The sequence below is a fragment of the Homo sapiens genome, chromosome 2 (assembly GCF_000001405.40).
Source record: "Homo sapiens chromosome 2, GRCh38.p14 Primary Assembly".
Lineage (NCBI taxonomy): Eukaryota > Metazoa > Chordata > Mammalia > Primates > Hominidae > Homo > Homo sapiens.
The window spans coordinates 216,103,282-216,117,227 of record NC_000002.12 but is presented as its reverse complement, the minus strand read 5'-3'; the positions used below and the strand labels follow the sequence as shown (position 1 = coordinate 216,117,227).

At 43.1% G+C, this 13,946-nt stretch overlaps 1 protein-coding gene across 1 annotated transcript in view, besides 7 other annotated features; it reads right to left on the bottom strand.

Annotated features, from left to right (window-relative positions):
- The window catches only part of XRCC5 (X-ray repair cross complementing 5), a 96,946-nt gene extending 89,066 nt beyond the window's left edge, over positions 1-7,880 (bottom strand). The window contains exons 1-3 of the mRNA NM_021141.4: positions 7,771-7,880; positions 4,099-4,212; positions 386-569 (exon numbers count right to left, since the gene is read on the bottom strand). Of these exons, the coding sequence (NP_066964.1) occupies positions 386-569; positions 4,099-4,212; positions 7,771-7,791 (319 nt within the window). The 5' untranslated portion in view covers positions 7,792-7,880. The remainder of the gene's footprint in view (positions 1-385; positions 570-4,098; positions 4,213-7,770) is intronic.
- Positions 1,392-2,324: an enhancer, noted in NCBI's record as "NANOG-H3K27ac-H3K4me1 hESC enhancer chr2:216979627-216980559 (GRCh37/hg19 assembly coordinates)". NCBI's record gives its function as "activates a minimal SCP1, AML or CMV promoter by ChIP-STARR-seq in naive and primed H9 embryonic stem cells {active_cell/tissue: H9 hESC(naive and primed)}" and the evidence as "EXISTENCE:reporter gene assay evidence [ECO:0000049][PMID:30033119]".
- Positions 1,392-2,522: a biological region, named in NCBI's record as "Sharpr-MPRA regulatory regions 7837 and 8351".
- Positions 2,000-2,049: an enhancer, noted in NCBI's record as "active region_17090". NCBI's record gives its function as "activates an Ori minimal core promoter by ATAC-STARR-seq in GM12878 lymphoblastoid cells {active_cell/tissue: GM12878}" and the evidence as "EXISTENCE:reporter gene assay evidence [ECO:0000049][PMID:35858748]".
- Positions 2,208-2,502: an enhancer, noted in NCBI's record as "tiled region #8351; HepG2 Activating DNase unmatched - State 5:Enh, and K562 Activating DNase unmatched - State 5:Enh". NCBI's record gives its function as "activates a minimal TATA promoter and a strong SV40 promoter by Sharpr-MPRA in HepG2 and K562 cells {active_cell/tissue: HepG2 | K562}" and the evidence as "EXISTENCE:reporter gene assay evidence [ECO:0000049][PMID:27701403]".
- Positions 2,228-2,522: an enhancer, noted in NCBI's record as "tiled region #7837; HepG2 Activating DNase unmatched - State 5:Enh, and K562 Activating DNase unmatched - State 5:Enh". NCBI's record gives its function as "activates a minimal TATA promoter and a strong SV40 promoter by Sharpr-MPRA in HepG2 and K562 cells {active_cell/tissue: HepG2 | K562}" and the evidence as "EXISTENCE:reporter gene assay evidence [ECO:0000049][PMID:27701403]".
- Positions 2,940-3,009: an enhancer, noted in NCBI's record as "active region_17089". NCBI's record gives its function as "activates an Ori minimal core promoter by ATAC-STARR-seq in GM12878 lymphoblastoid cells {active_cell/tissue: GM12878}" and the evidence as "EXISTENCE:reporter gene assay evidence [ECO:0000049][PMID:35858748]".
- Positions 7,535-8,156: an enhancer, noted in NCBI's record as "NANOG-H3K27ac-H3K4me1 hESC enhancer chr2:216973795-216974416 (GRCh37/hg19 assembly coordinates)". NCBI's record gives its function as "activates a minimal SCP1, AML or CMV promoter by ChIP-STARR-seq in primed H9 embryonic stem cells {active_cell/tissue: H9 hESC(primed)}" and the evidence as "EXISTENCE:reporter gene assay evidence [ECO:0000049][PMID:30033119]".

The window sequence follows — 13,946 nt, the reverse complement described above, 5'->3', positions numbered from 1 at the left end:
AAAAAGGAGAGAACATTGGGAGGATGCTCTTCTAAAAATATTTTCTATCCGCCTCCAAACATTTCTAACGAGCACCACTAAAACCCTCTGCATATAGTCAATGCTCACATATACTCCCTAGGATCTTCCCCCTTCCTATGCCTCCCAACCTCTCAGTATCACCCATGCAGAGAACAGGGAAGTGAGTGGAGGGCTGGGAGCCCAGGCACTGTTTTAAACTGATTAATTTCACATTAAACCCTATTAACACATTACCTCCCCCTCCTCAGAGCAAAATATACCCATATACTCATAGCTGAAACTCTGGGGGTGTCTCATCAAACTGCTGTACGATTCCCAGAATAAAGGAAATTTCTTAAAGTCTTCTCTGGCAGAAAAAGGATACAGTCAGCCTGTTGAGAACCTGGTTGGATTTTGCTTTCAATGTCCTCCAGCAAATCAAAATCTGGTAGCATCAGATGTCTGTGCACTGTGATGTTCTGATACTGATCCCCACCAGAAAGGGGATTGTCAGTGCCATCTGTACCAAACAGGACTAAAGCAATCTCATCCTTGTTCTCAGCAAACACCTAGAAAAAAATGTCAGATGGCTGAAAACCATATTAGAACAATCTGGAAGCAATAAAATACCTAACCTTCAGGGAGCAGGACAACCAGACCTCCCTATGGCAGGTCCCTGGGGCCATATAGTATTGGGCGGGATGAAACATGAGACTTACAGACAATGACAATTCTTAGGTTCTGAACAGATGTTTTTCATTGACCATAAGTCTCACCCTTCATTTCAGCAGAAGTTGAGGTGTGGAAATAGGAGGGTAGTAAGTGTTCTTGATGATTTCCAGCGAAATCAAACTCTAATTCTCAATGAGAGAACCAAAAATGGGTAATGTGAAAAGATTTTAGTATGTCTTTATGGAATGTCTAAGGTTTAAATTTTCCAGAGGTTAAAAAAAAAAGTGCAGGATAGCCTATATCCCAGCAATTTCAGGGGCAGGCATATACAGTATACCCTAGAAAAATTATGTACAGATAGGAAGTTTACACTTCAGCACTGTTTATGATAGGGCAAAAACTGGAAGCAAACTATCAAACAGGAGAATGCAAAAATACATTGCAGAATATTTATACAACGAAATATCATACTCCAGTAAAAATGAATAAATTTGTGCAACACGTATCAACATGAATAGATCTAAAATAAGTTGATAAAAGATATGCTGCAGAATTACATGTAGCATATAAAACCATTTACACTTTTGACAGCTTTATACAATACTAAGTATTTATGAATATATACTTATGTCCAAGTATAAAATATACATGGTAATAACTACCAAAATCCTGAGAAAAGGAGAAGAGAAAAAAAGGGTAAGGAAGGGCCTCCAGGTTTATCTGTAACACTTTATTAAAAAAAAAATCAAACAAATATGAAACATTAGGATTTACAGCATAAGACAATGGGAAAATTGGTTACCTGTATATTCTCCATATTTGCCTATTTTATGAAATATTTCATAATGAAATATAAAAACAAAAAATAGTATCTGACACAAAAGACAGTCCTGTCTAATTATTAACATAAGCCTTTTTACATTGATGGGGAAGAGTGCTGTATGGAGAGATAATGGAATTCTGTCATTCTTCATTTTTGTAGGGTCTGTTTAATCCTTTAGTCTGTAAACAACACAACAATTCCCAGTTGTACATGGACTAACGGTGTCTGGGTGCCTGCTGCTGGATTCAAGCATGCGTAGCATACTGGCTGGGCAGGTATCTGCCGCCTAGACAAGCATCCATCTTAAGGCAAGGTAATCTTGCCCTAGACAAAATCTCAGTCATGGGAGGGGAGGAAATTCTGAATGTAGTATGGGACTGGCACTAAGTTCCTGATTCTGACTTCCTGATTCTGACTCTTTCTCTCTACAACAAAAACAAACAAACAAAAAAACACCTATACTCTTGTTACTGGGGTGTAAGTCGGCAGTTATCCAGAGAAACTCCGGAGTGGCGACTCCGCAGTAATCTCGGTTCTTGGTCTTCTCGAAGTAAACAATTGAAACGACAGACATAAGCAAGGTTTAAAGCAGGAGGAAAAATTTATTTTAAGCAAAGTGAGAGTTTACTGGAGAAAGCAGAGTACACTTGGAAGAGAACCAAGAGGGCCACGTGAAAAATCAAGTGCCCTGCGCCCTTCTTTGTTTAGTTTTTAGACCGCCCCGCCCCCCAACCACCGGCGCCATCTTTTCCCGGGCTTCCAGTCTCCTTTGTTCCTCCCTTGAGCAGCCCGAATTAATCAACGCATGCGCACTAGCCCTGCTACTGCTTAAGAGGGGGCCGCATGCGTAGTGTGGTTACTAGTCATGCGCATGCTCAGTAGCGGCAACTCGGCATTATTGGTCGAGCGCCCCCAGAGGCAGCTTTTATACCAGTTAAAGTTCACCATCTTGCTCTTTTACTGCGCATGCTCGAAACCTTAAGGATTATAGCTTGCTAACTCCAGGTGTTTTCTGTCTGTTAAGATTCCTGTAATTCCTGACACCAATCATGGCCACTTATTACCTTACAGTGATAGTTTTATGCCCGCCTGTCTTCCCCTCGATGATAACCTGACAGCTTTGGGGCCCCTCCCTTGCCCTGCTCATCACTTCAGAGGGACGGATTTCTAATTGCCTAACCATGGCTTCACAAATGCCCAACATTCTCGGGGGCCCTCTCTCCTGCCCTGCTCATGTCTACTTACCTTCTCTAACAGCATACCAGGGGACAGCCACACTACTTGAATTCCACCAACACAACTATAACCAAGAACAGGGTTAGAGCACCTTCCTTGACACAACACCTCAAGGACTCCAGGTCATCAAGATTTTTAAAAATCTAGAATGACAGGTGGGAAGTACTAGTGCCCAACGGAAGTGTAAACACACAGAAGAAACAGAAGTGTCCAGGAGGAGCAGCAGTAGACAATGAAAGAAGCAGGAACTCATGGACTTAGCAAAAGTGGCAGTCATACCAAGTAGAAGGGGCAGAAATAAAAACAGCTGATGCTTACATAGTGTTTACAATATTCCAAGCACTATTCTAAGCACTTTATCTACATTAATTCTTTTATTCTTCAAAACTACCCTATGTGACAGGTATCATTATTCTCATTTTACACATGGGACACTGAGGCACTGTAGTAGCTAACCTCCAAGATAGCCACCATCCGTTCTTTCTCTCCTTGTATTTGCAGGCTACTCTTTTTATCAAGAGAGGGAGTCTAATTCTCCTCCCTTAAATGTGACCTAACCTTAGTGTCTTGCTTGACTAACAGAAAACAGAAATGACTTTCTGGGGCTTCTAAAAATAGGTCTTAAGAAGCCACATAGGCAGGGTCTCATAGAAAACCCATTCTTGGGATACTCCTTAGAACCAGCTGCTTCATGTGAAAATTGAAACTATACAGAAACCACATGTAGAGATTCTAACGGACAGCCCCAACTGAGCTCACAGCCACTAGAAAGCATCGTCTTCCAGCCATGTGAGTGAGCCATTTTGGACATCTGGTCCAGTTGAGCCTTTGGGTGACTCCAGCCCCAGCTGCCATCTGATTGCAACTGCGTAAGAGGCCTCAATAGAGAATCACCCAACTGAGCAACCCAGTCATCCCACAGAACCATGAATGATGAATTTTTAAAATGTTACTTGAGACACTACATTTTGGGGTAGTTTATTACACAGCAAAAGATAACTGAACTAGTCACAAACAAGTTGAGGGACTTGTTCAACATCAGAAGGTTAGTAAATGACATGGCAGAGCAAGGATACAAACCCAAGCCATCTGTCTCTAGAGATTGTGCTTTTAAACATTACTTTTTACTGCCTCTTGTTTCCGATAAAAACTGTAATATCTAGTGAAGGGGCCAAAACGAGGGAAGAAAAAATATCAGACTCTAGTGGTAGGTGAAGTTGTATGTGAGTACATGTAAGGAAACTCCCCAGAATCCCCCCAAACAGAGGGGCTGGACACTATAAGGAGGCTGGTATCTTGCATTAGTAGGTAGAGGCAACAAGCAGTTCAAACATGGGTTACAAGCTCAGTGTCAATCTGAAACTTACCTGTCGCTGTACAAACATGGTTATCACCTTCTTTGCTTGTTCAAATGGGGATTCTATACCAGGAATGGAGTTACTCATGGTAAAGCCCACGTCCATACACAGCACAACAGCTGCCTGGAAACAAAGTTCCAAAGAGTGTTTGAGAAAATAAGTCGTAAGAAAAGACTGTAAGAATGTCCCTTGCTTATTGTATTCATGAACCTGTATCAGTATTTAGGAAAGGTGTGAAAAAGGGATGTGTTCTACATAAGAATGTGTGTAAGACATATAAATTTTCACTATGGAAAACCCTTAAATAGTCCTGATACTTTCTAAAAGCTACAGAAGTTTCTACCAGGAGAGGAACATGCTCCAGATAGCTGCCACTTCTTTGGCCTAAGCCCCAGAATAAACCCATGATGAGTACATATGATGCCAACCTGCAGGCCAGAGTTAAACCCATTTATGCCCAATATACATCAGACAAACTGCAGCTGACCTGCAGACCTACAAACATGAGAACAGATGCTTTCACTGTAAGTCACTGATTCGGGGCATAATTTGTTATGAAGCATTTTTGTCACAAGAAGTGACTGCTAGAATCTATATATATGCTAAGAGGTATACCCTGACAATTTGAGTCAGTTTGTAAACTGATGATCTAAAATAAAGACACCAAATCTATTCTAGTAGAGGACACAGACAGATAACAAATAATACCAGAACAATGTTCCATGATAGAAGTATGCACTGGGCACTGAGAGACACAGGAGGAGCATCCACTCAAGACTGGTGGAGGGGATACCAGAGCGGTGAAGGGGCAGAAAAGGCTTCCTGAATGTGGATTTCCTTGGGTGAGTCTTAATGAGTAGGAGTCAATCATGTGAACAAGTAAGTGACAGACGGAATCACATAAGCTAAGGCACAAGCCATTACATAGCAATCACGTATGTAGGAGACTAAGAAAATAAGAGAAACATAACCTAAAAGGAATACATGTAAAGTTATTTATACCTGGCTTCCAAATTTTACCTGAACACAAGCTGGAAGAGACCTGGATTGATGGCAACTCACAATTTCAGTGTGAATTATAAAATCAATCAACAACGTGAAATGTCTTTTGCACCACATTCCCCACACCTATCTTACTTCATCGCCTAAATATGTTGGTCTGTATCAACAGTGTAGTGAATTCAAGAAGAGAAAAGAAGGGTCTTCTGGTGAAAAAAGATAATAGCAATCGGGAGACCTGGGATCTAGTCCCATCTCTCCTACCCATTAGTTCTGAGTCCTTGGGAATGTCACTTAATCTCACTGTTAATAATACTAAAAGGTAGGAAACTGTTGGACTAGATGAGGTTTAAGGTCCTTTCTGGAGTTCACATTCCTTGACTCTGACTGATAGTCTCGCAGTGCTTTGTACCGATCAAACAAACTGTGAGCAGTTCTGGGCTAACATCTTACCAGGAAAATTAATTACAAATGAACATGAAATGAGCAGCTTAGGGAAGAATCTGAAGAATACATGATGTAAAGAACAGTTGGAAATAACTAGATATTTAAGTCAGATGAGAAGATTAAAGGGAACATAACAGTTTTCCTCCCCACCATTTTTTTTTCCTTTTTTTTGAGACATGGTCTCACTGTCACCCAGGCTGGAGTACAGTGGCATGATCATGGCTCACTACTGCCTCCATCTCCCGGGCTCAAGTGATCCCGCTACCTCAGCCTTCCAAATAGCTGGGACCACAGTTGCACCCCACCATGCCCAGCTAATTCTTAAATTTTTTTTGTAGAGTTGGGGTCTCACTGTGTTGCCCAGGCTGGTCTCAAACTCCTTGGCTTAAGCAATCCTCCCACCTCCGCCTCCCAAAGTGCTAGGATTACAGGTATAGGCCACCGTGTCTGGCCTCCCCCCAGATATTTGACAACTGTTGTATAAAAGGATTGGTCTGCCAAGAAAGACAACGGGATCAACAGATGGAAGTTACAGGGAGACTGATGCGACTCCATACGAGGGATAAAAAATAACATTTAGAAGTGATCAATAAAGAAACTACTCTTTTTTAAGTGATCTCTTGACCCTAGAAATGTTTTAAAAACCTGAATGAATTCCTATCAGGGAAGTTATAGATGATTTCTAAATGTGGTTATATCTCAGGCAACACATGAAAAGAAAAGATTATTTTTCACTAGTTTACAAACAACACAATGCACTAAGAGATTTCTGAAGTAAAATTAGATTATTTGAAAAAAAAAACGTGCTAATAAACCACAAAATTCCTTTGAGAACAGTAAAATGCACATCCCAGTTTCAATGCCTGGGGCATGATAACCTAAAAAAACTTAAGAGTCACAAAATATGCTGCTGCACTTATTTGATACACACCCACAAAAGCTACTTTTAAACCAGAAAACTCTAGAGGACTAAAGCACTTTTGTCATGAATTAGGTATCCAGTAAGTGCCATCAAAGGGTTTCAAATATGGAACTTATTGTCTGGAAGCAGAATGGTCTATATTTCTGAGTTCCTATCTGGCAGCAGTAAGAAAACTGAGAAAGAGAAACCGGGTAGCATAGCAACTCTTCATTTCTATACCGAAGCAATACAGGCTGTTAGAATTTTACTTCCAGTTCATCTGCAACAAACAGCTCCTCCACTAGAGCTACAAAGTTTTCAGCAGCTGAAAGAGGACGAAAAAAGGAGGTGAGTGGCATTATTAAAAGTTCATGATCGTTTTAATCAACATTTCTCAATGAGGAGTTGAGGGAACTAGGGATCAGTTGCTCAAACTCGTATCTTGTTTATCTGTATTGAATAAATTCATTAATCCCTGGAACCACATCTCCCTCTAGTGACCCTTCAGAGACAACTACCACTCTTTTATGTTGAAAAAAAAAAATCACTTTAAAATTCATTGTAATTTCTGTTACTGATCTGGGACACCAATGGTCATAGATTTCTAGCAACACAGGGGTTCTCCAGGGCCCTGAAACCAGACAGCTTGGATTCAAATCCGGATTTCACCAGGAAAAGCCCACAGTTCTTTATTCCTCGGTTTTCCCACTTGCAAAATGGGGATAAATAGTTTTCACTTCAAGGGGTTGTGAAGATTAAATGAGATAAGAATAAAAGGTTTAGATCCGTCCCTCACAGAGTGGGCTTTCAATAAATGCGGGATACTACGTTATTATAAAGCTAATAATACGACGCTTTACAGTTTAAGTTATTTTAGTCACAGATAGTCCCTCTCTTAAGTTTTACAACAAGCCCTGTGGGATAGTTGCTTTATCACAGCTAATTTTCATTCTCATAGAGATCTTAAGAACCCAGGCTCGGAAGTAATAGAGGAAGTGGGGCTAGGGAGTGGAATGGGATAAAGAGAGAGAGAGGGGAGGCGGGTGGGGAGGCAGGTGAGACAAAGAGCAGGTAGAGAGGGAGAAGAGGGATGGGATGGGTGGGTAATGGAAGAGGTGGAGTCAGCGAGGCTCAAATTCAGGTCTTGGAGCCCCAAATCTCCAGCTTTTCTCATAGCGCATCCCTCGGTCCCGGCCCTCCTGACTGAGCCCACCACCATGATCTTCTCTTGCCCCATTCTTTGTCTTGACCGCGATCCCACGATTCCTGCTTCCGAACCACCCTCTCCGGATCCCCAGTCCGGGTAAAGCCCAAGTCCATGGCTTTCTTTATACCTTATTCCCCGACCGCACCATGTTGCCGGTCCTCAGGCGCTTTGGTCGCTTCTTCCGGGCGGGAACCTGCCGTGTCGCAACTCGCTTCCGGTGGACAAGCGGCAGATAGCGGAAAGAGCCGCTTCGTTTCCTGCTAGGCCTGAAAGGGGCGGGGAAACCGTGCCCCGGAACTCTGAGCATGCGCAGATTCCCGCCGAGCTTGCGCAGATTCCCGCCGAGCTCGCGCAGATTCCGGCCGAGCATGCGCAGATTCTCTCCGAGCATGCGCAGATTCCCGCCGAGCATGCGCAGATTCCCGCCGAGCATGCGCACATTCTCTCCATTCCGCCGTAGTCGGGAGCGTGTGGTGTTTGAGCCGCCTGAAACGCTAGTACGACAGATTTACTTAAAGATTCACTTAATCACTTAAAGATTCACGTCCCTTTTCTCTCATTGAGAATAACACCTAAGGCATTTTGTGTCAGAGCTCTGGAGTTAGATTTCTTTTCTTTTTTTTACTTTTTTAAAAAATCTTTTTTCCTTTAATTTCATTTTTTCATTTATTTTTTATAACTTTTGATTTTTTTTTTTCTCATCACTTGTGGGTTTTTTTCTACTTTTTATTTTTGGTTATTGTGGAGTTAGATTTTCTTGAGTATGAGTATGAATGCAGAAAGTCACTTAACTTCTCTAAAAGACTCAGTTTCTTCTAAAAAGTGATAATGAAACACTTCACCGATGTGATAACCTTAGAGCCAACTGGGGAAGAAGAGTAGGACGTCCCCAGGAGCACAAAAGTAGAAGGGAGATTCTACTCTGCAGAGAAAATGGGATGCACAAACGCCTGGAGGCATGAGACTTTATCTGCTAAGGCTCTCCCAGTAGTTAGCAGTGGCTCCAGCTTGGAAGGGAGGAGTCAAGGTTTAATTTAGAAGACAAGTCTAGGGAGATATAGAAATAGCAGCTGTCATCACAGTGCTTTACTTGATCACGAGCCCTTTGTCCAGCCCGCATCCCCTACCCCTTTGAGGGAGGCAGGCCCAAGCAGTACCTTGCATAGAAATGACTGCTTTCTATACCATATGACCCCCAGCTGACAGGTGGCTGGACGAAGGGTCTGGCAACCTGCAAAGTGTCTGCAAACCTCTGCCCAAACTGAGAAAATCAAGTCCAATCAATATTCTCTCCTGCTTGAAAATTGTTTCTGGGAAAAGCAAGAATTGAAGCTGAAAAGATGTGGAGAATCTATGAGCCAAAATTATAAATACATTGAAGCCTCTAGAATGTAGAGTCAGACATATTCAGAGGTGCTCATAGAGCCCAGGAGGTTCTTCCAGCTTTTGATTCAAACTCAAGGAGTTACTTAAAAGCTGAAATATTATTTTTAATAATACTTTAAAGGAACAGCAGCGCCCTGGCCGCTCAGCTTTGCGCGGGCTGCAGCAGGCAGGCAGGCAGGCACGGACACTCGCCCTTCCCTGCGGGTAAGATTTCCAAGAGAAAGATCAGCTCGGCAGAAGGGGCGGGGAAGATCTGTGAGGTTGTCAGCTAAATCTCCTCCAGCAAAGGTGGAAACGAAGCCCAGCGGAGGCAGCAGGACAGCATAAATTTTCAGACAAAGAAGCAAACAAGGAAAAATGGGAGCAAAGGGCAAACAGGCCAAGTGGCTATCCGGGAAACAAAAGATTTATCTGTGGAAAGCGGAGAAACTGAAACAAGGAGAGTCCAGCCTCTGGTGAAGCAGGACAGAAAGAAGCCAAATCTGATTAGTATCACATACCATATCTTGTCAGTGGTCCTTGTCTCCCTTCTTGTACGATCCAGAGCTAGAGAGAGAGAGAAAAGGAAAGAAACAGACAGGGTGTCGCTCGGCCGAGGCTGGAGTCCAGTAGCACAATCATAGCTCTCTGCACCCTGGAACCCCTGGGCTCAAGCGATTCACTTACCTCAGCCTCCCAGGTAGCTGGGACCACAGGTGTGTGCCACCAAGCCCAGCTAATTTTTGTGGGGTTTCTGTGTGTGTGTGGAGGCGGGGTCTTCCTATGTTGCCCAGCCTGGTCTTGAACTCCTGGGATCAAGCGATCCTCCCGCTTCAGCCTCCCAAAGTGCTGGGATGACAGGTGTGAGCAACTGCACTTGGCCTCAGAGGAATATTTTTATCAACTATTTTGATAAGGAATATTTTTATCAACTATTTTTAAATGCAAGTTTTTTAGTAGCTGTAGAAACTTTTTTTTTTTTTTTTTTTTTTGAGACAGAGTTTCCCTCTTGTTGCCCAGGCTGGAGTGTAGTGGCGCGAATTCTGCTTACGGCAACCTCCGCCTGCCGGGTTCAAGCGATTCTCCTGCTTCAGCCTCCCAAGTAGCTGGGATTACAGGCATGTGCCACCACACCCAGCTAATTTTGTATTTTTAGTAGAGATGGGGTTTCTCCATCTTGGTCAGGCTGGTCTCGAACTCCCGACCTCAGGTAATCCGCCCACCTTGACCTCCCAAAGTACTGGGATTACAGGCGTGAGCCTGTGCCTGGCTGAAACATTTTTAGGAAGGAGGGAATCCCACTTTATCCCATTTTTAAAGTGTAGCTTTTAAAAGGTGAAATAATTCACTTGTTTGTTGTTTGGTACAACCAGGAAACACTGAAATAGTGAATAATGGGAGGCTTTCACTGTCTTCGAAGTCAGTTTAACATTCCCTAGGGAGAGGGTATTTTATTTCCTACAGTACAGCGCATACTAAATGGCAATATAGAGCCACAGTCATGCATTTAATGTGTCTTGAAAATTTTAAATTACTTTTATTTTCATGGGTTTTTTTAGTAGAATTGTTTCCTGAAGAAAACCACTCCTTGGTCACGTTGCTATCCGTGTCAAAATTGTGTGCAGTCTGTAACATCTTTGGTTGTGCTAGTCCCATTTTCCTGATAACTTTGTTAATGTGCTTTGAAAGACTGAAAATTTGAGTGGGTAGAGTATATGATATTAAATTGTGAATTGGTGGGACTTATGTAACAACTTATCAGCATGTGGAGATAATGTACCCTGATACCCTCTTTTTTTTTGAGAACAGTCTCACTCTGCGCCCAGGCTGGAGTGCAGTGGCACGATCTCGGCTCACTACAAACCTCCGCCGCTCCCACCCGCCACCAGGCTCAAGCGATTTTCCTGCGTCAGCCTACCAAGTAGCTGGGATTATAGGCACCCACCACTGTGCCGGCTAATTTTTGTATTTTTAGTAGAGACGGGATTTTGCCATGTTGGCCAGGCTGGTCTCGAACTCCTGACCTCAGGTGATCCGCCCACCTCAGCCTCCCAAAGTGCTGGGATTACAGATGTGATCCACCGCGCTCAGCCTAAAAAATATTTTTAATAAGACTGGTAAAGAGAATTACTGGAGACTCAGTACAGTGAAGGAAATTTGCATGCTTTATGTCCATGTTTTTATCTTGTATATGGTCTCTATTTTTCCTCTTCCTTTCTCTCTCTCTCTCCCTTCCTCCTTCCCTCCCTCCCTCTTGCTTTTCCCCTTCCTCTTCCTCCTGCTCCTCCTCCTCCCCCTTCTTCTCCTTCTCCCTGTCCCCACTCTCTGTCTTCCATACACCCTTCAGTACAGGTCTGTTTCTTGGAAGAAATAAAAGAGGTTCTAGTAGCTGTGCTTGTTTGCATCTCAGCTGTTTTTATAGAAGTCTTTAGAACCAGCCACCTCTGTGCAGCTAGGCATCTGTGACGCTGAAAAGGGATATGGACTTTAAGCATTGCTTCCCCTGGCAAAGGGCCTTCATTAATCAAGGGTCAAGGGATAAACATTATTAATGATGTGACAGCATATATGGCTACTCCCTTCCTCCTCCACAACAAAAGGATTCTGGCTTTGTTCGTTCTGTTTCTGTCAGTGCAAGGTCCTTTTGGATTTAAATGATACAGAATTGGGAATAAAGGGGGACAGGAGGTTGATGGGCTATGACTAGTGGTGGTGATGGTATGTGTGTTGGGGGACAGAAGGGGGAGTTAGAGAGAAATGTGTAAAAGCCACTGTGGCATATGAGGGAAATAAATGGGATAGGAAAGGGGGAATGGCAAAATGTCATTTTGGTGATGCGTGTGAGCCATGCCTCTCAGCATTCACACCCTTATGTAGTTCCTTCCCCGTGAATCTGGACAGGCCTCATGACCTGCTATAACCAGTAAAATGTGTAGGCATTTACAGAACAGTAGGTAGTTCTGGGCTGAAGCCTTTAGAATACCTGGCAGATTTGTCTTTTGCACCCTGGTGAACCCAGATACCATGTATGAAGACTGCCATGCTGTGAAAGCCCAACATAGCCACATGAAGGAGCCCTATTATGGACTGAGTGTGTCTCCCCAAAATTCATATGTTGAGATTCTAACCCCCAATGTGATGATATTTGGAGATGAGGCCTTTGGGAGGTGATCAGATTTAGGTAAAGTCATGAGGGTGGCCCTCCTGATGGAATTAGTGCTTCTGTGAAAAGAAACAAGAGACAAAGGGACGCTAGAGAGCTCGCTCGCTCTCTCTCTCTCTCCCCCTCCCTCCCTCCCCATCTCTCCCTCTCTCCCTCTCTCCCCACTCACACAAAGAGATCATGTGAACACAGAGTGAGAAGACAGCCACTTGCAACCCAAGAAGAGATCCCTCCAGCCTCTAGAACTGTGAGAAAACTAATTTCTGTCATTTAAGCTACCTAGTCTATGGTATTATCTGTTATGACAGCCCAAGTCTGTTATGGTAGCCCAAGTGGACTAATACAAGCACTGAGCACCAACAGCCCCAACAGTAACCTGGATGTCACCCAGCACCAACTTGGCAGCCACGCAAGTGAGGCTGTCTAGGGAGAAGATCCTCCTTAGGAAGCTATCTCAGCACTAGAAACATTGAGCAGACTAGTAGTCTCCACCAAGCTCTGCACAAATTGCAAAACTGTGAGCAAAGGAATTGAGTGACTATTTTGGTGGGGTTTATTTGGTTTTGCTTTTGTTTTGAGAGAGGATCTCACTCTGTCACCCAGGCTGGAGTGTAGTAGCGCTATCTTAGCTCATTGCAACCTCCACCTCCCGGGCTCAAGCCATCCTTCCACCTCAGCCTCCCGAGGGGCTGGGACCATAGGTGCACACCAAGCTGTTATTTTAAGCCATTGTGTTTTAGATGTTACAGCAGCAATAGATAACTGAAACAGCAGAGATTTTTTTGAACTATTGCTACAATGTAGACCATGTGTTCCCCTTCAGGTAGTTAATAAAGGCAAATAAAAATTTTATTTTGTAATTATAATTTAAGTTGCTGGAATATGTTTGCATTTGGTATTACCTTGAACGTGAACTATGAGTAATGACTTCCTGACCACTATAAAAATTAAAATATACAGGCTTTGTGTTCTGACAGAGAGCTGTTACAATGGTTATATGGGTAACTGAGAAAATAAGTAGAATATTAACAGAGTACAGATATGAAATAAAAGTTTATGTCCTGGCTGGGCTTGGTGGCTCATGCCTGTAATCCCAGCACTTTGGGAGGCTGAGGCGGGTGGATCACCTGAGGTCAAGAGATCGAGACCATCCTGGCCAACATGGTGAAACCTCATCTCTACTAAAAATACAAAAATTAGCCAGGCATGGTGGTGGCGCATCTGTAATCCCAGCTGCTGGAGAATCACTTGAACCCAGGAAGCGGAGGTTACAGTGAGCGGAGATTGCACCATTGCACTCCAGCTTGGGCGACAAGAGCGAAACTCCATCTCAAAAAAAAAAGTTTATATCCCAAACAGATGTGAGTAGTAAGATGTCCACTAATATTTTTCAACACTGCACAAATTAAGCTCTGGGTGGCCATTCCAAAATGGCAGAATGAAACTTTCACATCATCTGAAATTGGTTATTTTTAAGATTTAGAATCTTGTTTTATAGAAAATCATGGGTTTTATTCTTCTTGGATGTGAAGTGAAATGAAGGGTGCTACCTAATGTCAATAGACAAGATGACTTGGAAACACATCAGTGTCACCCTATGGGCCAGACATGGTTTATCCAGCTCAGCACATTATGGCTGCTAAGCAACTGGAAAATATAGTCATCTTCCTTGATATTCACCACGATGATTAGGCAACTATGAGCCAAAAGAATTGTTCAAATATGGTATTGAACTCTCCAGTTTCTCCTCTGATGGTCTCTGTGGTGTTTGCTGA